At 36.6% G+C, this 23859-nt stretch overlaps 1 long non-coding RNA gene across 4 annotated transcripts in view; it reads left to right on the top strand.

The window, feature by feature from the left end:
- The window catches only part of MRPS30-DT (MRPS30 divergent transcript), a 64466-nt gene extending 41130 nt beyond the window's left edge, over positions 1–23336 (top strand). For 2 of the 4 annotated variants that reach the window (NR_109865.1, NR_109863.1), the window contains 2 exons: positions 21626–21722; positions 22260–23336. This is a non-coding gene — a long non-coding RNA (MRPS30 divergent transcript). Of the gene's footprint in view, positions 1–21625; positions 21723–22255 lie in introns of all 4 variants that reach the window. The other 2 variants (NR_109864.1, NR_109862.1) reach the window with 1 other exon arrangement.
- Positions 23337–23859: the final 523 nt, after the last annotated feature.

Genomic DNA, 23859 nt, shown 5'->3' with positions numbered 1-23859 from the left:
GTACAGGATGGGGATGGAGAAGAAAAGAGAGGGAAAGGGAAATCTCAATAATATCTTCAGTTTTCCAAAGTTCATATACATTTCTTTCTTTTTTTTTTTAAATTTAATAACCAGAAAGTGGGTGATTAGGTTGTTCACTCTACATTATCAGTACAAGTAAACTAGTTGATGAAGTTTTGTTGTTGTTGTTGTGTTTAAACTTATGAAGATATTCGATAAAGATACTGGAATATTTTCCATAGCTTTTAATTTGAGAGTACAGACTATTCTTCATACGTTTATTGAGAATCTTCTGTGCTCAGCTGGATTAGGCAAAAGCAGTACCAAAAGAATTAGGCACAGAAAACTGTTTTAATTAGGGTAACAGAAAGCAGCTGCAATACAGAGTGATGAATGTGAACTTTGAAAGTAAATTTGGTGGGTTTCAGGATTTCTGAGGAGGGAAGTCAAACAGTTCTAAAGAGTTGGCAAGGCCAATTGAGAGGGTGGTAAGCTATCCTAAGCCCTTTCTTCTACATTAACTCTGCTTTCCAGTTAGTCTTCAGGTGCTTTAGAATTTGAGATCCTTTTTTCTCATTGTGTGGTCCATGGACTAGAAGTATTAGCACTACCTGGAAACTTGTTCAAAATGCAGAATTCTGGGCCCCAAAACAGACCTACTAAATAAAAGTCTCCATTTTAAAGAGATTGCTAAATGATTCATAACTTGTTAAAGTTTGAGAGGCATTACCTTAGATTCTGTCTTCTTCTTACCTTTCAAACCCAGCTGAAAGTGGGTTTGTATTTCCCTTTACTTTCGACCTTTAGGGAAGTACCATCTCAAAGAACACCTGTATGTATGCAACGTATTTAAGCAGAAAGAATGGGCTCAAGATAACCCTTGATTCTAGTTCCCTACAGCATACATGTGAATGGGAAACATTCATAAGTTCCTATTTGCCAAGGGCATGTAAATGTGATAAAGCAGATCCGAAGACACATGGGAGTGAGACTAGGAAAGTATTAAGAACATGGGCCTTGACCGGGCGCAGTGGCTTACGCCTGTAATCCTACCACTTTGGGAGGCCGAGGCTGGTGGATCACAAGGTCAAGAGTTCGAGACTAGCCTAGCTAAGATGGTAAAACCCCGTTTCTAAAAATTAGCTGGGCACAGTGGCGGGCACCTGTAATCCCAGCTACTTGGGAGGCTGGGGTCACTTGAACCCTGGAGGCGGAGGTTGCAGTAAGCTGAGATCACGCCACTGCACTCTAGCCTAGGTGACAGAGCAAGACTCTGTCAAAAAAAAAATAATAATAAAAAAGAATGTGAGCCTTTTGACTAGGAGCTATGGCATAACCATAGACAATAGCAAGATGCCTCAGTGCACCCAAAGGCCAGAAGGGATGGATACATCAACAGTGGAGACCAGAAAATGTCCAGAAGGCAACTAGTGGAACAGAGGTCTCTCCGATCCCCACTCTTAACGAATTTTTCCTTAAGCTCAGATATCTCCCAGGGAGAGACAAAAAAGAAGGGTGGTGTAGAAATGGGAGAAAGAAGGTAGGACGAGCACCTGGAATTGGCCTAGCTAACCTGAAAAAGACTAAGTTTTAAACTGGAAGAAAATGGGTTGCCTGGCAGGGCCAAGTTTAAGTTATTTTCTCCATTAGCAGATATGAAGCTGTATGTACAAATAATTCTTTTATGAAAAATAAAACTCTACTTATGCATACCTGGTTGACAATATGACAATTTTAAACTACAGTATAAATATGAGATGTTGGTTAAAATCCTTCAGTGGCTTCTTATGTCTACTTGTGTTCTGTCTTTCTTGGCACATCCTATTTTATTTGGTTCTGGCCTACCTCTCTAGCATCATTTCCTGAAACCAGCAATGGAAACTGAAAAATAAAGAATGTGTCAAGTAATAGAAGGAAATTAAAGTGTAAATTCTAAGCCATTAGACCTATATTATTCTCTGTGTGTGTGCACATGTGTGTATCGGTCTGTCTATCTGACTGTGTGTAATATGTATAAGAATATTGACTCTTTAACCACTTAACTCTGACCAAAATAACGCTGCATTAAAAAGTATCCCAAAACTTAGTGGCTTAAAACGCTGAATCAGTTATCCAACAGATCTTCAGATTGGCTGACATTTGTCCAAGTCAGTCTTGCATGGATGGTTCTACTGGTCTTCTCATTCATACTCTGGAACCAGTTGAGTTCACTTGGGCATGGCTCTGCCTCACATGTTGCATATCCTCCTGTGGGACCAGCAGACTAGTCTAAGCATATCCTTCTTGTGCTACCATAGGTTCAAAAGTAGCTTTATAAACTTCTGTTCATGTCCCGTCTGCTAATATTCCACTGGTGAAAGAAAGTCACATGAAAAAAAAACAGTCAAGGGGTTGGAAAATTTGTTCCACAAACTATAGGAAAGCACTGAAAGCTACATGCCAAAGAATATAGGTTTATAATTCAATTACTGCAGATAGAAAAGTAATGCACTCTACCTCAAATCTCGTTTTTAAAATAACTGCCACCACATCATTGGAAAGATGTGTAGCAATTAGAGATACAAAATTTGGCACAGTAGCGCTCAATCTCTCCACAATATAACCCCATAATCTAGTCTTGTTTTCATTTTCTATCATTTAAGACAGCTTATTTAAAGGATTACAAAATGATAGCTGAATTATATTTTATAATCAATGCATTCATAAATGTGATTTTATCATTTTCATGTTCTTTTAGAGAAGTGAACAAACTATAGCTTGTGGGCCAAATCTGGCTCAGCACATGATTTTGTAAATAAATTTTGATTGGAACACAGCTGCTCTCATTTGCTGATGTACTCTCTATGGCTGCTTTGATGCTACCACGGCAGAGTTGGGTAGTTGTGCCCAAATATTTACTGAAAAGCTGAAAATATTTACTATCTCACTCTTTGCAGAAGTGTTTCACACTCTGTTTATCATATTTAAGGCAATTATACCTTCTATTGCCCTTAGCTGTCAACAAAGTTCTATCTTCCTTCAAAAATGAAGAAAGCTTTAATGAATAATGGAGCCAGGATCTGAATGCACACCTGGCTGACTCTAAAGCCAGTACTTTCATCTAATAGATTATGCTGCTTCCAAAGTATTTATAATACTTTGAAGAATGCCACCCCTTATATGGGTGGGGAAATAGAGGGCCCAATGTATCACTTACATTCAAATTATGCAAAAATTCTGTTAAAATTTTTAAATTCTTGAGCTAATAAAATTTATATGCCAGAGATTTGTAAATCTGAATTTCAGCAAAGGTCATAGGTAGTCCTTATTTACACTAAAAATAAAGATCCTGAGGTATAAGTGAAGGAAGCAATATGTGATTAATATTGGATTTGAGCTGGGTTGGAGGAGAGTTGAAAAAGCTTCACATCATTATGGTGACAAATTGAGTAGAGAATCGATGCAGCCTGGGAAAATAAAGGACTTCTAAAGAGAACCAAAAAATCACTAGAAGTTGTCTAAAATATACTTGGAATACATAGTATTCTAGCTCATCCTCAGTTTTCCACCTTGGGTCTACTATTGTGATTATGATTGTCATGTGAACCTCCAATCCAGAAGCAGCTCAGATAAACAAGAAAACTTAGGAGGGCAGAAATAGTGTATGCATACTATATACACAGATGTCTGTTTTATGGGTGGAATTTTCTTGTAATCCACTTTTCCAATAAATATTTGGGGTATGTTATAAGAATATCAACAAAAATATGATACAACATTAACACAATAGGAATAGATTATCATAATGTAATTTATATTGTGAATTGTCTTTTCAGTCAAAATATTGATTGTGACTTTTCTTTCTGTTTCAAAATTGTAGGGAAAGGATAAAGCTGAAAACAAAGGGTCATTAGCACCCTACTTTGCAGGTTCAGAAAGATGTCTCCAAGTAGCCTAGAGTAGAATCTAGCTACAGTGCTGCAGGGCTTGCCAAGAGACATTGGAAGCAGTCTTACTGCCGCCCCTCAGTTGATAAATATATATGAGCAATGTTGCTTTGCCTCCCCAAAACAAAGTTAGGCACTGTAAGTAAATCTTTCATAGAGACTGGGGAATTCCTGCAGAAAGAGATGCTTGGTGTCTTGTCTTTCCCAACTAGAGACTTGCTGAGATGCAGAGACTAAAATCTCAACTCAGGCCAATGCTAGGGAAGATTTTAGTGAGAGTATCCTCAGAATAAACATGTGAAATCTCAGAGTATGTTACACTATTCTCTTCGGTTGCTTTTATTCAGGTATGAGAAAAATTAGGAGAACTTGACATGTACCCTCTGCAATTTGAACATAGATATTTGTGCTTCTCCTTGTATAGAGATTTCTGAGGCCTGGAGGTCTGGTGGAATGGGATACACCTTCAGGTTTTCAAAGGGTCATAGTGTAATGTGTCTGGGAATAAAATAGGGCCCCTTAGGGTTATGGGAATGTGTAAGAAAGGATACCATGGGGGTCAGTGGTGTGGGATGAGCTGCAGAGCTGCTCAAGAGGCCATAGAGGTCAAGTGATTAGATGTTTATATTAGAGAAAGGATTGGGGATTTTGTACCTTTGACTTGTCAAAGAGAGTCAAGACTGTACTTTGGAGGAGGCAAAGAGCCTGGGGCAAGGTGAAAAAAAATAAGTCTGTGTAGCACTTAAGCATCATATGAATAGGACGCTAGGAGAAAAGGTGAGACCAATTGAAACCGGAGTGAGGTCAGAGAATCTCTCCACCACAAATACTTGTCCGCCACCCTCATTTCTCCACAGTGTCCCTACTGTGGAAACTAAATGCCAAGAAACGGAAGAAGATGAGGTTTCTCTGCCACCTTACTCCAAGAGCTGAGGAGGCAAGGTTTTAGCCTGTGGTAGATAAGGCAAGGGGATCCTTTCTGAACTGAATTAAGATTAAAGTTTTTAAAATAAAAAGAAATATGTCTAGTACTAAAACAAACAAACAGAAATTTTTGCTAATAACTGAAAGTAATTGCTGGGAGATAATCCCCATGATTGTCTTGCATTTCTGTACTTCCTACAAGTAGATGCACCAGCTGACTTTGTTCTGGACTCTCTTTATGAGAGTATCTGTATAACAGATGCTCTCTGAAGTAAACATAGTGTCTCTATCTGGAGCAAAAGGCCAGTATAATAAAATTGATGTCTGTATCTAGAGCAAGGGCAAGCAAGCATCCTGCCAATGATGAAAGATTTGGGCTCCCTAGACTTGGGTTTCATCTCCTGTAACACAACCTGCTGCATGTGCAGGTGGAATGTGGCCCTCTTCACCTCACCCTATGAGAAGTGAGACTTGTGCAACTAGCACAAAAATGCAAATGCTCTGATACTTCTATTCTTAAGAAGAATAGTCTATCTTTCTGCTCTGACCCATGAGTTTTAAGTCTTCTAACAGCATCAGTGAAACCATGGTAGGCTAACTTGTCTCATTTTTCACTGTTCACGGGAGTGTATGTATATAAAATATACTTACTTGCCTCTCCCAGAAGACTGCTAAAGCTTCATTCCTTTATGGCATTAGGCTCAGGCATAGAGTCCAGAATGTCATTGCTGAAATGATATTCAAATAATGGATAAGACTCCTCTGGTGCAGTTATCCCTGATCTGTAGATCTGTGAACTGAAGTTATCTATTACCCATATTGTATGCTGAGGTTCAGATAGGGACATATAATGGTGAGATAGGGATACATGAACCACAATATAATATCTTCTTTAAAAATGATCTGTATGGTGGTGAGAGGCACCTAACAGTCACTAATTTTGAAATTCTGGAATCTAGCCCTCTTTATTTTTCTAGGGGCAAAAATAGTGTGTTCATTAGAACTCAGTGCTACTCTCTGAGAGTGTTTTTGTTTTGTTTTGTTTTGCAGCTCTTTGTTCCACCCTCTGGGGTCTTTATTTTCTATGATAATATCCTGCATTTGCATGTGAATAGTTTTCTCAGGCTATGTTTGGCCTGTAGGATTTAGAAATCTTTTTTTTTTTTTTTTGCTTTAAATATCTTTGTTCCTTTTAGTGCAAACTAATATAATTCCTTTCAAAGCTTTGTGGTTTTCCTGAGTATCAAATTATAAGAGTATAAAACACATACCCTTAACATCCTATAAGTCTTTTGCATGGCTGAGAAGTTTATAAAGCACCATCTTAAATATTTCTCAGTTCTCTAAAAGAGGTCTTATAGCTGTACCCTTCCTTGACTTTTTACTATTTGAAATCACGGTTTACTGTCATCACCTTGTGCTTGATACTTGCACTGAGACCTGTTTTTACCTTAAAAACCTTTTGCCAACTGGAAAGTCTAGGAATGAAGAACAGTTTTGCTTTCCAACACAACAAGTTCTCATTTGTAAACAATTCCTCTAAATTATGTTCAAAAACTGAACATTTCCCTCTTTAGTTCACTTTTTTGAAATACTTTAAAAAGACCATTTATACCTGCAATATTCTTCTTGAAAATCACCTTCTCTAGACTACAGATTGGTAGTCACTTTCAGTTTACTGCAAGTGATAGCCTCCCAATTGTTCTACCAATATACAGCTCCAAACCCCTCCACCTTTTTGTTTTTAATTTTATTATTATTATATTTTAAATTTTAGGGTACATGTACACAATGTGCAGGTTTGTTACATATGTACACATGTGCCATGTTGGTGTGCTGCACCCATTAACTCGTCATTTAGCATTAGGTATATCTTCTAATGCTCTCCCTCCCCCCTCCCCCCACCCCACAACAGTCCCCGGTGTGTGATGTTCCCCTCCCTGTGTCCATGTGTTCTCATTGTTCAATTCCCACCTATGAGTGAGAACATGCGGTGTTTGGTTTTTTGTCCTTGCGATAGTTTGCTGAGAATGATGGTTTCCAGCTTCATCCATGTCCCTACAAACGACATGAACTCATCATTTTTTATGGCTGCATAGTATTCCGTGGTGTATATGTGCCACATTTTCTTAATCCAGTCTATCGTTGTTGGACACTTAGGTTGGTTCCAAGTCTTTGCTATTGTGAATAGTGCCACAATAAACATACGTGTGCATGTGTCTTTATAGCAGCATGATTTATAATCCTTTGGGTATATACCCAGTAATGGGATGGCTGGGTCAAATGGTATTTCTAGTTCAAGATCCCTGAGGAATCGCCACACTGACTTCCACAATGGTTGAACTAGTTTACAGTCCCACCAACAATGTAAAAGTGTTCCTGTTTCTCCACATCCTCTCCAGCACCTGTTGTTTCCTGACTTTTTAATGATTGCCATTCTAACTGGTGTGAGATGGTATCTCATTGTGGTTTTGATTTGCATTTCTCTGATGGCCAGTGATGATGAGCATTTTTTCATGTGTTTTTTGGCTGCATAAATGTCTTCTTTTGAGAAGTGTCTGTTCATATTCTTTGCCCACTTTTTGATGGGGTTGTTTGTTTTTTTCTTGTAAATTTGTTTGAGTTCATTGTAGATTCTGGATATTAGCCCTTTGTCAGATGAGTAGGTTGCAAAAATTTTTTCCCATTCTATAGGTTGCCTGTTCACTCTGATGGTAATTTCTTTTGCTGTGCAGAAGCTCTTCAGTTTAATTAGATCCCATTTGTCAATTTTGGCTTTGGTTGTCATTGCTTTTGGTGTTTTAGACATGAAGTCCTTGCCCATGCCTATGTCCTGAATGGTATTGCCTAGGTTTTCTTCTAGGGTTTTTATGGTTTTAGGTCTAACATTTAAGTCTTTAATCCATCTTGAATTAATTTTTGTATAAGGTGTAAGGAAGGGATCCAGTTTCAGCTTTCTACATATGGCTAGCCAGTTTTCCCAGCACCATTTATTAAATAGGGAATCCTTTCCCCATTGCTTGTTTTTCTCAGGTTTGTCAAAGATCAGATAGTTGTAGACATGTGGCATTATTTCTGAGGGCTCTGTTCTGTTCCATTGATCTATATCTCTGTTTTGGTACCAGTACCATGCTGTTTTGGTTACTGTAACCTTGTAGTATAGTTTGAAGTCAAGCAGCGTGATGCCTCCAGCTTTGTTCTTTTGGCTTAGGATTGACTTGGCGATGCAGGCTCTTTTTTGGTTCCATATGAACTTTAAAGTACTTTTTTCCAATTCTGTGAAGAAAGTCATTTGTAGCTTGATGAGGATGGCATTGAATCTGGAAATTACCTTGGACAGTATGGCCATTTTCACGATATTGATTCTTCCTACTCATGAGCATGGAATGTTCTTCCACTTGTTTGTGTCCTCTTTTATTTCATGGAGCAGTGGTTTGTAGTTCTCCTTGAAGAGGTCATTCACATCCCTTGTAAGTTGGATTCCTAGGTATTTTATTCTCTTAGAAGCAATTGTGAATGGGAGTTCAGTCATGATTTGGCTCTCTGTTTGTCTGTTATTGGTGTATAAGAATGCTTGTGATTTTTGTACATTGATTTTGTATCCTGAGACTTTGCCGAAGTTGCTTATCAGCTTGAGGAGATTTTGGGCTGAGACGATGGGGATTTCTAGATATACAATCATGTCATCTGCAAACAGGGACAATTCGACTTCCTCTTTTCCTAATTGAATACCCTTTATTTCCTTCTCCTGCCTGATTGTCTTGGCCAGAACTTCCAACATTATGTTGAATAGGAGTGGTGAGAGAGGGCATCCCTGTCTTGTGTCAGTTTTCAAATGGAATGCTTCCAGTTTTTGCCCATTCAGTATGATATTGGCTGTGGGTTTGTCATAGATAGCTATTATTGTTTTGAGATACATCCCATCAATACCTAATTTATTGAGAGTTTTTAGCATGAAGGGTTGTTGAATTTTGTCAAAGGCCTTTTCTGCATCTATTGAGATAAACATGTGGTTTTCGTCTTTGGTTCTGTTTATATGTTGGATTACATTTACTGATTTGCGTATGTTGAACCAGCCTTGCATCCCAGGGATGAAGCCCACTTGATCGCGGTGGATAAGCTTTTTGATGTGCTGCTGGATTTGGTTTGCCAGTATTTTATTGAGGATTTTTGCATCAATGTTCATCAAGGATATTGGTCTAAAATTCTCTTTTTTGTTGTTGTGTCTCTGCCAGGCTTTGGTATCAGGATGATGCTGGCCTCATAAAATGAGTTAGGGAGGATTCCCTCTTTTTCTATTGATTGGAATAGTTTCAGAAGGAATGGTACCAGCTCCTCTTTCTGGTAGAATTTGGCTGTGAATCCATCTGGTCCTGGACTTTTTTTGGTTGGTAAGCTATTAATTATTGCCTCAATTACAGAGCCTGTTATTGGTCTATTCAGAGATTCAACTTCTTCCTGGTTTAGTCTTGGGAGGATGTATGTGTCGAGGAATTTATCCATTTCTTCTAGATTTTCTAGTTTATTTGTGTAGAGGTGTTTATAGTATTCTCTGACGGTAGTTTGTATTTCTGTGGGATCGGTGGTGATATCCCCTTTATCATTTTTTATTGTGTGTATTTGATTCTTCTCTCTTCTCTTCTTTATTAGTCTTGCTAGCGGTCTATCGATTTTGTTGATCTTCTCAAAAAACCAGCTCCTGGATTCATTAATTTTTTGAAGGGTTTTTTGTGTCTCTATTTCCTTCAGTTCTGCTCTGATCTTAGTTATTTCTTGCCTTCTGCTAGCTTTTGAATGTATTTGCTCTTGCTTCTCTAGTTCTTTTAATTGTGATGTTAGGGTGTCAATTTTAGATCTTTCCTGCTTTCTCTTGTGGGCATTTAGTGCTATAAATTTCTCTCTACACAGTGCTTTGAATGTGTCCCAGAGATTCTGGTATGTTGTGTCTTTGTTCTCGTTGGTTTCAAAGAACGTCTTTATTTCTGCCTTCATTTCGTTATGTACCCAGGAGTCATTCAGGAGCAGGTTGTTCAGTTTCCATGTAGTTGAGCGAATTTGAGTGAGTTTCTTAATCCTGAGTTCTAATTTGATTGCACTGTGGTCTGAGAGACAGTTTGTTATAATTTCTGTTCTTTTACATTTGCTGAGGAGTACTTCACTTCCAACTATGTGGTCAATTTTGGAGTAGGTGTGGTGTGGTGCTGAAAAGAATGTATATTCTGTTGATTTGGGATGGAGAGTTCTGTAGATGTCTATTAGGTCCGCTTGGTGCAGAGCTGAGTTCAATTCCTGGGTATCCTTGTTAACTTTCTGTCTCGTTGATCTGTTTAATGTTGACAGTGGGGTGTTAAAGGCTCCCATTATTATTGTTTGGGAGTCTAAGTCTCTTTATAGGTCACTAAGGACTTGCTTTATGAATCTGTGTCCTCCTGTATTGGGTGCATATATATTTAGGATACTTAGCTCTTCTTGTTGAATTGATCCCTTTACCATTATGTAATAGCCTTCTTTGTCTCTTTTGATCTTTGTTGGTTTAAAGTCTGTTTTATCAGAGACTAGGATTGCAACCCCTGCCTTTTTTTGTTTTCCATTTGCTTGGTAGATTTTCCTCCATCCCTTTATTTTGAGCCTATGTGTGTCTCTGCATGTGAGATGGGTTTCCTGAATACAGCACACTGATGGGTTTTGACTCTTTATCCAATTTGCCAGTCTATGTCTTTTAATTGGAGCATTTAGCCAATTTACATTTAAAGTTAATATTGTTTTATGTGTGTTTGATCCTGTCATTATGATGTTAGCTGGTTATTTTGCTCGTTAGTTGATGCAGTTTCTTCCTAGCCTCGATGGTCTTTACAATTTGGCATGTTTTTGCAGTGGCTGGTACTGGTTGTTCCTTTCCATGTTTAGTGCTTCCTTCAGGAGCTCTTGTAGGGCGGGCCTGGTGGTGACAAAATCTCTCAGCATTTGCTTGTCTGTAAAGTATTTTATTCCTCCTTCACTTATGAAGCTTTGTTTGGCTGGTATGAGATTCTGGTTTGAAAATTCTTTTCTTTAAGAATGTTGAATATTGGTCCCCACTCTCTTCTGGCTTGTAGAGTTTCTGCCAAGAGATCAGCTGTTAGTCTGATGGGCTTCTCTTTGTAGGTAACCTGACCTTTTTCTCTGGCTGCCCTGAACATTTTTTCCTTCATTTCAACTTTGGTGAATCTGACAATTATGTGTCTTGGAGTTGCTCTCTCAAGGAGTATCTTTGTGGCATTCTCTGTATTTCCTGAATCTGAATGTTGGCCTGCCTTGCTAGGTTGGGGAAGTTCTCCTGTATAATATCCTGCTGAGTGTTTTCCAACTTGGTTCCATTCTTCCCATCACTTTCAGGTACACCAATGTAACGTAGATTTGGTCTTTTCACATAGTTCCATATTTCTTGGATGCTTTGTTCGTTTCTTTTTATTCTTTTTTCTCTAAACTTCTCTTCATGCTTCATTTCATTCATTTCGTCTTCCATCGCTGATTGCAGTTCATTGCATCAGTTGATTGCATTGGCTTTCTTCCCGTTATTGCATCGGCTACTGAGGCTTCTGCATTCGTCACGTAGCTCTCGTGCCTTGGTTTTCAGCTCCATCAGGTCCTCTGAGGACTTCTCTGCATTGGTTATTCTAGTTATCCATTCGTCTAATTTTTTTTCAAAGCTTTTAACTTCTTTGCCATTGGTTCGAATTTCCTCCTATAGCTCGGAGTAGTTTGATTGTCTGAAGCCTTCTTCTCTCAACTCATCAAAGTCATTCTCCATCCAGCTTTGTTCCGTTGCTGGTGAGGAGCTGCGTTCCTTTGGAGGAGGAGAGGCGCTGTGATTTTTAGAGTTTCCAGTTTTTCTGCTCTGTTTTTTCCCATCTTTGTGGTTTTATCTACCCCCTCCACCTTTTAATAACAATCTCCTTCCTGCACTTCAAGCTTCCTTCAACAATCTCCTTACTGTCCGGTCCCAAAGCCACTACCCCTGTATTCGGTTATTATTACAGTGGTATCCTACTTTCAGATACTAATTTCTATTTCAATTTTCTATTGCTTCATAGCAAACAGTCCAAAACTTAGTGGGTTAAAACATCCACCATTTTATTTGCTCAGAATTTTATAGGTTGGCATGGGCTAAGCTGCACCATTCTTGTGCTGCTCTTGCTTGTGGTCAGATGGTGGCTGGAGCTGGAGCATTCAAGACAGCTTCCTCCATATATAGCTCTTTAGCAGGATCCAAAGCCATGCAAATAGATATCTTAGAGATAGTCTTTTGTCTATGAGTTTTATAGTGCCCAAGTGCTATGCCTTAATAGTGTGGAAACTCTTTCCCTCTCTATTTGGATTTTTCCACATGACTAGCTTGAACTTCTTCACATGGTGTCTGGATCTCAGGAGCAAGATTTACTAAACAACAAGCTCCAATGAGCAAGTGTGCATCAAGTCTCTACTTGAATTATGCTTGCATATACCCCATTGGTCAAACTAAGTAAATTCAGGAGATTACACTCAATTTTGGACAATGTAAATACCTTAGGACTGGTTCATTGTTTCACATAAGATTCAGCCCTGCAACATCAGAGCTTTCTTCATATATTTCTATTATTGCACTAATAATTTTGTAGTTTTGATTATTTCTTTCTATTTATCATTATGCCCACAGGAACTAGATAAAAGGTCTAAAATGCAGTGGGTTAACAATAAATGTTTGTCATTCTTTCTGAGTTAATGAATAAATATGGAACTATCAAGATCAAATCTATTTAAAACTATCAGAGCACTTCATGGATGGGGACCAACTTTGTCCTTGTATTAAATGCTTTTTGAAGACGTATAGTAATTTTTGCAAAGAAAAACAAGGTTTGTTAATATTAAAATATGAAATCTTTAGAGAAATAATTTAACATATCACATGGAAGAGAAAAGTATTTAAGAATATCTTAATTCTTCCAGTTAAGAGAAAACAGGTAAGAAAAGAATTTGTTATCAAGCTTTGAGTTTCGAGAACTTTTAGCATTTAAGTGAGAGGATTCTGACTTTAGTAGTTTCCTGTTGCTGTAACAAATCACCACAGATTTAGATATTTAAAACGTCACAAATTTGTTTTCTTATGGTTCTGGAGGTCAGCAGTCAAAAATCAGTTTCACTGGGGATCTTGAGGACCTGGAGGCAGAATCAGTTTCCTTCCCTTTTAGCTTCTATAAGAGTATTCCTTGACTTGTGGTCCATTGTCAAAGTATGCCACTCCAGTATCTGCTACCATCAACTTATCACCTGCTACTATTCTGACTCTATCTTCTCCTGGTCCTTGTTACAAGGATCTTATAAGACCCACCTGGATAATCTCTTAATCTCAAGATTCTTAATTTACTCACATCTTCAAAACATCTTTTTCCATATAAGGTGACATTCACAGGTTCTAGTGATTAGAATTTGAACGTCTTTGGGGGTGATTATTCATCCTACCACAGTGAGATACTAAATTATACATACTAAAATTATACATATTACACTAAATTATACATTTTTTTCTCTCTCCTTTGATCTGTTTTAAGAAAATTGTCAGTTGAAACAGTTTTGAGGATAGAAGCAGAGGCAGAAATCAGAAATAAACTGCAAATATTTCTGGCTTTTGTTTTATAAACATGTAAGTCTTAAGGAAGTTTAAAGCATGTAAAAGAAGACTCACAGATTAAGACAGTATGTGCTGGACATACACAAGGATAGGAGTGTCCATATTAAAAAAAAAAAAGGAAAAAAAAAGCTTGCTTTTTTTCTACTCTCACATACCACAACACACTTCTGACACCAGATTCTCCAGCAAACTGAGTGTCCTCTAATTCAATTCAATTCTGACAGTATCTACCTGGAGGCAGCATCAGCTCCCACAGTTTAAGAGCTCGGTGTTACAAGACCGCACCCACCTCAGACCCCAGTTGCAAGTCCCAGGTTGTTATCTTTGCTTCTGACTAATTGACTATAAATTAAGGTTTCTATGATCTCTTTCCCAGTTTGATTAATTTACTAGAGCAGCTCACAGAAGTCAGGAAAACACTTACTTGTGTTTACTTTTTTATCACAAAGGTATTACAAAGAACACACATGAAGAGCCAGATAAAGACATGGATAGGGTAAGACACGTGGGAAGGGGCATGAAGCTTCCATGCCCTCTTTGGGTGCCACCTTTCAGGAATCTCCACTTGTTCAGCTATCCAGAAGCTCCCCAAACCCAGTCCTTTTAGTTTTTTTGTGGAGGCTTCATTACATGGCTATATGGATTAGATCATTGGCCATTGTTGATCACCTCAACCTTTGGCCCCTCTCCCCTCTCTGAAAGTTGGGAGATGGGGCTGAAAGTCCCAACCCTGTAATCATGACTTTGTCTTTCTGGTGACAAGCCCCCATTCTGAGGCTATTTAGGGGTCAGCCACCAGTCATCTCACTAACATACAGAATACATTTTTATCAATCTGGAGATTGCAAGAGTTTTAGAGCTGAAGACTAACTATCTATTCAAAATATCATACCATGGATGGTGGGAGACCCTCGCTCAAGAATAGAGATCCCCTGAGCTTGTGAAGGAGGTGAGAAAAAGATCTGTGTTTTCTGGCAGTGTAACCAGGAAAGCAGCAAGATCTCTGATGTGAATGAGATTAAATAGGAAAACATTCTCTCATCAAAACCTGGTGTATTAGTCTGTTATCATGCTGCTAATAAAGACATACCTGAGACTGGGTAATTTAAAAAGGAAAGAGGTTTAATTGACTCACAGTTCCACATGGCTGGGGAGGCCTCACAATCATGACAGAAGATGAATGAGGAGCAAAGTCACATCTTACATGGTAGCAGTCAAGAGAACGTGTGCAGGGGAACTCCCATTTATAAAACCATCAGATCTCATGAGACTTACTACCATGAGAACAGAATGGGAAAGCCCCACCCCCATGATTCAATTACCTCCAACCAGGTCCCTCCCAGGACACATGGAAATTATAGGAGCTACAGTTCAATATGAGATTTGGGTAAGAACACAGCCAAACCAAATCATCTGGCATAGAAGCAACAGAGACCTGAAGACGTTGTGCAAACAGAGGAATGGATGATTAAATAGTTATACCAATGAACATCCCCCAATGCCTTGGCACTGGAAAAGAACCAGGGGATCAAGATAGGAAGGACACCAGTAATGAAGACAATTGAATTTTTTACCAGATGGATAGCATGGAGTCTCAGCATCAAAAATGAAGTTGTAGAAAAATTTAAAATATATATATATTTTTGCATACCTGAGGTTGAGGACTAAAGTTTATTCCTACTTGCTTAGCTCTCTCTCTCTCTCTGTCTCATGTTTGCTATATAATTTTTAACACTGTTTCAAAAATATAAAAAGAATTATAATTTTGTTGTATAAACTTTTGAAATGAAAGTATAAACATATTTTAGAAAAACACTTATCTCCCACCCATTATTACTCTTTATTGGTCATATTAACTAGGTTATTTTTTAGATTCATATTTATTCCTATAATGATATATTTATTAGAGTTCCTGAGAAAAATATAAATTTTTTCTCCCTAGACTTTAAGTATACTAATTCCACAATTTCCTGTTAATAATATCTGTCAAAAGTATTACACTGACTTTTTCAAAGTTGTTTGTTACTCAAGGGAAAAAGTGTTTAACTCTATGTTCTTATTTTGACATTGCTTATTAGTGTCAAATTATTATTTGGAATTTGTATACAACTTCTTTTTCTCTGACAGCAACTGAGTTATGCAAAACAGCTATAAAAATGATTTCAAGAAAGATAGACAAGAGTCCTTCCTATTGAAAATTGTAACTTTAATTTTCAGATAGTTTTATATGAATTGCCCCATTTGATTTTCAGAACAATAGTATATAGTATGGCAGGCATTTTCACATAAATTTGACTAAATAAATTATTCCAGAAACTCAAGTGGGCTATTGTGAGGATTAGAAGTAGAAGTTCCATCTGCTCAATAAATACTAACCACTATTGCTATTATTTTATACATATGAGAAGTGAGGCTCCAAGTGGTTATGGCTTGTTTCCTTTCTTCTGACCCAGAGTCCAGAGTTTTTTCCTCAATGCCCAACAGAGGCCCTGTTAATTTTTCCCTTCAAAGAATGATAATTGACATAGTAGTAGAAAAACAACAGGAATAATCTCACAGATTGTATTCCATCTGCAGGATCTCAGCGTAGGCTCAACATTTACTTCTGAACAAAAGGGCTCTGCCAAGTCCAATCCCCTCAACCTCCCATACTACTAGTGTTTATCTTTGGAGGAAAAAAAAAAAAAAAGAAATCCCTAGAAAGATCTTACTCCTTTTCTCTCAAAGGTGAGAGAAAAACACCTTTTGAAACTACTCTTGCTGTCAAAGTTCAGTCCTTGATTTGTGAAGCCTGGTCTTGCAAAAGTACTAAATCAAAGTAAAATGGATTTACATTTGTAAACTTTGTTTCCACTTAATGGGATTAGAAAGACCACTCACATTAAACAAACAAAAACATTGGTTCAGCATCAAGACAGATAGAACAGTAAATTAACCATATACAAACTTTGAGACTCAATGTGAATTTAGGCTTACAAATTCTATTTTAAGATGGTTTGAAGAATCAAGAAACTTCCAGGGTGTATTTATGTTTTTTTACATCTACTCTTTACCTGAGCCATGTGCACTATTGAAGAGAGAAAAGACACAAAAGAATGATATACAATGTGCAATGAAGTTGGTTGGAGAGCAGTTGAAAGATCTTCTAAACCTAAACTTCTCCAGATGCAAAGATTTAAGTGTGAAGAGTTAAACTCACACAAAAGCAGTAACGCTTCCGCTGAAAATCCTCTCAATATGCAGAGAACAAATGCACAACACTTTTTCAGAATATACAGCAATAAGCATTTTCTTACTTAAAAATAAAAGTACCTTAAGCATTCCCAAATAAATTAGCTTTGAATATATCTGGCAGTATTATGACCCATTGTCTGCTTACACTTTTGAAAAACTTTTGTAATCTTTTAATTATATCTGTTTACATTCTTATCTTCTCTAAGAGAACTCAGTACTTTCTTAGCTTTCTGGCCTTCCACAGACATCAGATTTCTCCATCTGGAAATCAAGTAAGGTATATATGAAATGAAAGCTGCAAACAGCATGATTATTTACTAATTTGTTTTGTCTTTGGGCTTTTGACAACATATAATCACAATAACCAACTAAATTTGTCAATGCAAGTGATAGTCTCATTTTAATTGAGAGAGATAAAGATCATGTTAGGACTTGTGCAGCCACAGGGCAGATGACATAAGAAAAGCTGATAAAATAGGAAGGAGGCTAGTAAATGGGCCCAAAGTTTTACTCAAAAAGTTCAACTAAGATAACAAAAGTCAGGCAGATGCTATAGGGTAAAGTCAGCAATGTGCTTGGGCAACTCGATTTGAGGACCAAGATTAAGTAAGTGGCAAAACCCAAATCAATGATTTTAGCAACAGAAAGATACTTGGGCATAAAGCCTTGAGGGACAAGAAAAAAAGGTTACTCTATGCAGGGCCCTGTGATCCTTCACAAATGCTTCTTTTACAAGCAATGCCTATGAAATATCAAGAGTAAGTTTATGTGTGTTTGGTGTTTTAGCAAATATCTGAAATCATATACATTCAGATCAAGCCTCAAAGTTAATCTATTGAGGCTGCTGTTAATAAGCACAGTTCTGAAATCCTCTTGTTAAAATTGCTTTAAATATTGCATCACCTCACTTATATATGTAAATATAAAAATATAATGAAACAAAACAAAACAGTTGAATATGCGGAAATAGTAGACCTGTGGTTACCAGGGTGAAGGGAAAGGGGAGAGATAAGTCAAAGGGTAGAGTTGCAGTTACATAGTGTGAGTAAATCTGGAAATCTAACGCACAGCATGAGGATATAGTCAACAATATTGTTTTGTGTAAATGGAAATTTGCTAAGAGAATATGGATTTTAGGTGCTCTCACTCCAAACCAAAAAAAAATTACTATGTGAAGTTATGGATATGTTAATTTGCTTCCGTAGGTATCGTTTTACTATTTATGTATATCAAAACATTACTGTAGACCTTAAACATAGCAAAAAAAAGACAAAAGAAAAAGAAAATAATAAATATCTGGAAAAAGATTGTTTTCACGTCCACCTTTAAACCACATGGTGAGATCAATATTATTCGTGGAGAAGACAGGCTGAATCTATGCTTATGCTTGTCCATTCTGCTTCCCAAATCTCACCCCTACATTGATCATTATTTCAAATACAAGTAAAATAATTAATTAGCTACTACTTTTTGTGGCAATCAGAAAATTTAAAATAAAAATGTGGGACTGCTGCCTCATTCACATTCTCAAAATACCAACAGTGGCCTAGGGAAAGTGATACAGAGGGTCCTTTGCCTCAAATACCTCATTCTTAGTGGGGGTTAGAAAGCTGTGAATAGTTGCAAAACTTATATGGGACCTTGCCTCATTGAGGTGACTTGAGTAACTCCAGTCAATGCCTTACTGAAAAAAATATTCTTTTCACCATATACTTATCTTGCATATCCCAAATTTCATTGATTGAGCGCCATTGACCCTAAGCTCTATGTACTTGCAAACATATGCTTATCTCCCACATCTACAACCAAAACACATGCTGAAGTACATAACTCTTAGCCCAATATCCATTAACAGATAGCCAGTGATGTGCTACTGATCAGAGATAGGGCCTCCGGTACCTAGTTTTGCCTAATTTTGCAGCACTCAGAATAAATGAAGTGCTTTCAAAATTTAGAGTGTTCAATGTTCTCAGTTCTTTCTCATTACTATATTTCCATAACACTTAATTTGTGTGGATTATACCTTTTAGAATGTTGTACATCATCACTAGACAACTCCTCACCCCCCCCCCCCACACACACACTTTATAACATTGTTTTCTGTAATCTCCAAACATATGTATGAAAAGGGGTTGTCATGGTAATAATAATCATGGGTTAAGGGGCAGGAAGATGAATTTCAAAATATAGCTCCCCAGAGTAAAAAGATATTTGCCTAGTTTTCTGATTGATGCAGATTTATTTTTGGACCAGGGAAATAGCAGGAAAGAGAAAAATTTACCTACTCCTAATTAAGTAAAGCAAGGTTGAAATACCTATCGCAATTTTCAACTCAAGTCTTTTACTTTCTAGTTTATGAAAATTTCTCATAGATACTTGCAAAAGGTTAATTGTCAGTTCTGGTTTACAGCGTTCTGACTTTTGTGATCTTCCTGTGCCTTCACAGATATGTTTGTGAAAAGTTGAGCCCAGCTGGATCATGGGCTGCAAACCATACGCCATTTTACACCAAAAACCTCTGTTTTCTCTCTGGACCTGCTTGCAATTACTATCATCCTCTGATTTCCTGGATTTCTGGCACTTTAGCTCAATTTCTACATCTGTTTCTAACCCACTTGGTTTGGTGAACATCTCCTTCCAAGCTTTTGGACTTAGTTACTCACACACTCTGGGATCTGCTCATTTCTCTGGTTTTGGTGACATCTATCCCATCCCCTAACCTGCTACCATTCCCCTTTTGTACTGGAACAATTGCCAGATAGGGTCTTGCCCCCAGAACTACAGCCAAGTGAAGAATAGTAATAATTATTTTGTAATACCAAATTCACCTGAATCTGTGAATCAGGTGAGCTTGTCTTTCTAGGGTATGAGTATTGTAAAATTATTTTTTAATTTATTACTGTTTTGTGTGTAGTTTTTGGCCTTTGATCTTTAAAGACATTTTTTCCATGGTATGCACTAAATAGAAAATATGTTATTTAGGCAAGAGGCTTGGGTTGCCAAATAATATTTTGAAAACAAATACAAGAAAATCATACGAGATGATTACATAAAGAGCTGAAGCAAGACTATGAAGTGTAATGTCACTAAAGATTATTGGGTTAAGATCTGAAACTTTTATGCTTATTGTATTATTATAAACTTAAACAAATGAAGCTAAACTGATTCAGAGGTTAAATATCACCCAAGTCATGCTGAATATTAATTCCCATCTTTTTTTTTATATGTTTTTGAAGTCAGAGATGGGAAGAAACAAGAACTTTGACATGCTTGGTGTTCTTGCCCAAGCTTTGAAGAAGTTTACAAGTGAGCAAATGTTTATACTTTCGAAATGACTGGAAATGACTTCACAATGGATCTTAAAATGGACCAGTTAAATATTATTCCAGGAGGCCAATTATCTAGTTATTAAAATGAAGCATAGTAAGTTAGCTGCTATTATTGGCAGCTGAAAGAATAACAGACATGATTTGGAGACCTAAAATAATTCCTCAGATATTTAGTAGAAGTAAGAAGATCAACAGTGAGATACCATCTCACATCAGTCAGAATGGCTATCATTAATAAAAGTCAAAAAATAACAGATCATCACGAGGTTGTGGAGAAAATGGAACACTTACACACTGTTGGTGGTGGTGTAAATTAGTTCAACCATTTCAGAAAGCAGTGTGGCAATTCCTCAAAGAGCTAAAAACAAAACTACCATTCAATCCAGCAATCCTATTACTGAGTATATACCAGAGGAATATAAATCATTTTACCATAAAGACACATGCACACTTATGTTCATCGCAGCACTATTCACAATAGCAAAGACATGGAATCAACCTAAATGCTCATCAATGACAGGTTGGATAAAGAAAATGTGGTACATATGTGCCATGGAATACTATGCAGCCATAAAAAAGAATAAGACATGCCTTTTGCGAGAACATGGATGGAGGTGGAGGCTGTTATCCTTAGCAAACTAATAGAAGCAAACTAACAGAAGCCCAAATACCTCATGTTACCTTAGCAAACTAAGGTGCCTTAGGAAACTAACAGAAGACCAGATACCTCATGTTCTCACTTATAAGTGGGAGCTGAATGATGAGAACTCATGAACACAAAGAAAGGGACAACAGACACAGGTCTACTTGAGGGTTAAGGGTGGGAGGAGGGAGAGGAGTAGAAAAAATAACTGCTGGGTACTAGGCTTATTACCTGGGTGATAAAATAATCTGTACAACAAACCCCTGTGACATGAGTTTTCTTATATAACAAAACTTCATGTGTACCCCTGAACTTAAAATGAAAGTTAAAAAAAAAAAAAAGAACTAAGAAGGTCAACTTCATGAACAATGATGTAGGTATCTTTAAGATGAATATTCTAGTAATGTGTTTATTACCATGTTTATTTCCTGTCTCTCTAACTCTTTAAACTTTCATTGTCCTACAGTTTAACATCTGCATTGTTTATATATTCTATATATATATATTTTTATTCACCTGATTTCAAAACCCTTTTTGGATTAAAAAGGCTTGAGATTGAACAAATAGCATATTTTAAAGTAGTTGTTTAATTTGTTTTTAAATTACATATAAATTTTTCCTTTGTGAAGGAATTGACAGTTTTATTTCTTTTTTCTTAAAATAACTCCTTCATGTTCTTTGTAATATGAGATCAGTATGCTTAAAGATATTGTCTTTGAATCTAAAGTCCTAGTCTGGAAGGAACTATTTCCCTTTGTATTTCTAGTGCTCAATTTTTAAAAATTGATTTTGTATGCTACTGGGTAGCACATTTAATTCAACTTATACTACAAATTAACAAAAATGATCTTCTTTTTTCTTTCTTTTTATTGTTTTTTTTCTGTTTTTTTTTTAATAGCAATGTTTTTTTCTTTACCACTAGAGTCTATATGTCAGAATACACATTTCCCACCTTGCCCAACAGTAGAAAAACATAAGAAGAGAAAAACATTAAAAAATGACAAGGAAGTTAATGGAAGGTTTGTGCATTTTTTTTCCTTTTAAGATTTTGAATCATTATGAGTTTTAAAACCATTTGTAATGTTCTTGTGTTTAAACCTAAGCAATACAAGTAGTAAATAAGGTTTGTTTAGTTAGTGAAATATCACCCAATGTGCATTTACTGTACTGCTCAGCTTTATTTTGTTACCATACTTTGAATCCTAAGCCCTAAGAAACAATTTTGCAAATTTATCAATGACTCGAAATAAGTAAATACATATATATTATTTAAAATCTATTAATGCATTAAAATCAACTCTCTAAAAAAGGCATACATGTTAATAATTCTGAAGACTGTGATCTAAACGTGATCCATTTTGAAAGAGATCAAATTGCAAGTAAAATAGTATTTTTATTAGTAACTTCTGAACTGTTGATAAATTCTTCAACCAAGGAAAAGTTTCTTCCTGTCATCAAACGTTGAGGTGATGATGATGATCGTAATTAGAATGCAAGCTACAAGAAACAGTTAAGGGTACCTGTTACGAACTGAATGTTTATGTCCCCCCAGTCAGCAATGTGATGGTGTTTGGAGGTGGAGCCTTCAGAAGGTAATTAATGCCCTTGTAAGAAGAGGCCAGAGAGCTTGCGCACCTTCTTCCTGCCATGTGAGGAGCCAAGAAGCCGGCTGTCTGCAACCTGCAAGAGGACCCTCACTAGAAGCTAGCCATACTGGCATCCTCATCTTGGCTTTCCAACTTCCAGAACTGTGAGAAGTATATGTTTGTGGTTTAGTCAATGGTCTATGGTAATTTTTTTATAGCAGTCCCAGCCAAGACAGTGCCTCATTTACTACATACCATTTATATTATTATATAGGCTCCTTTCAGAAACCCATGTTCAAATAAGAGATAAGATACTGAAACACATAACACCTTCACTAGTTTTTAGTATACAAATATTGAGAAATAGTTTGTTATTAACTATCTCATCCAAGAAATGCAGATTCATGTTGTTTCTAATTTTTTATATATAATTGACAAAATGAAGAAACTTAACACCATCCTAGATTTTAGCTGCCCAAAGAATGAAAAGAATGAAAAAAAAATCTTTGAAAACCCACAAGTGATATGGATCTAATTTATGGTTAAATAGATATAGATAACAAACAGAATACGCCTGTTTAAAACTGTTAAAATGACATTGGTTCTAATTATACTTTTATTTAAATTGAAAGACAAGGCATTTATATGGTATCTCTAACCATCACAACTTTTGTGTGACAAAAAGAAATTATCACCAAAATACACCTCCTTAAGTAAGTGTCTGATTTCACACTTCCAGAAAAAGTGCTCTTTCTGGTCAAGCCAGCAAGAATTGAGAAAGATTAAGAAAGTGCTTCAAAGATGTTTATTAAAAAGTTGTCATAAAAATGTGAAGTAGATGTAGCATCAAGCATACCAAATAAAGTAAAACTGTCATCAAGAAGATTCAACAGCTATGAAAAGAGTTCTTCAAAATATGATATGTTTTTCTAGATGATAATAAAATTTATCAATTCCAAATGTCCACATTAGTCTTTCATAAAGACACCAATGAGTCACAGGAAAAAAAATTAAAAATAAAAAAACCCTATCTCAGGGAATCATGCTAACAACCTGATGTGTTTTCTTCCACATATTTATGTCTGCTTATAAGTATTTACAAACATATATTCGCATATATGCATTTTGAATTTTTTCTGTTGCTGCACTTAAATTTTTTTCATAATAAAACAAGACTCCTGCAATTTGCTTTTTTAGGTAGACTATGTATCCCTGACAACCATCCAGGTCAGCTTGATGATTAACACATTTGTTTTAATAGCTACATAGTATTCTATAAGTATGATTTATTCAAGTGTGTGTGTGTGTGTGTGAGAGAGAGAGAGAGAGAGAGACAGAGACAGAAAAAGAGAGACAGAGGAGGATATTCAGGGGTTCTGTCCACTACAACATTTTGTCACAGGCAACAGTGCTGAAATGAAAACACTTGAACACATATTTTTATGATTTTACTTTTTATGATTTTCAAAAGTGTGTTTGCAAGGTCAAAGAATAGATGTGTTGCTCTTAATAAATATCAAAAGATTATTTACTACTACCCAAATTATACTGTAATTTCTTCTTGAACCGT

Source organism: Homo sapiens, chromosome 5 (genome assembly GCF_000001405.40).
Source record: "Homo sapiens chromosome 5, GRCh38.p14 Primary Assembly".
Taxonomy (NCBI): domain Eukaryota; kingdom Metazoa; phylum Chordata; class Mammalia; order Primates; family Hominidae; genus Homo; species Homo sapiens.
Note: the sequence above shows the minus strand (reverse complement) of the source record. Positions and strands in the feature narration are given on the sequence as shown.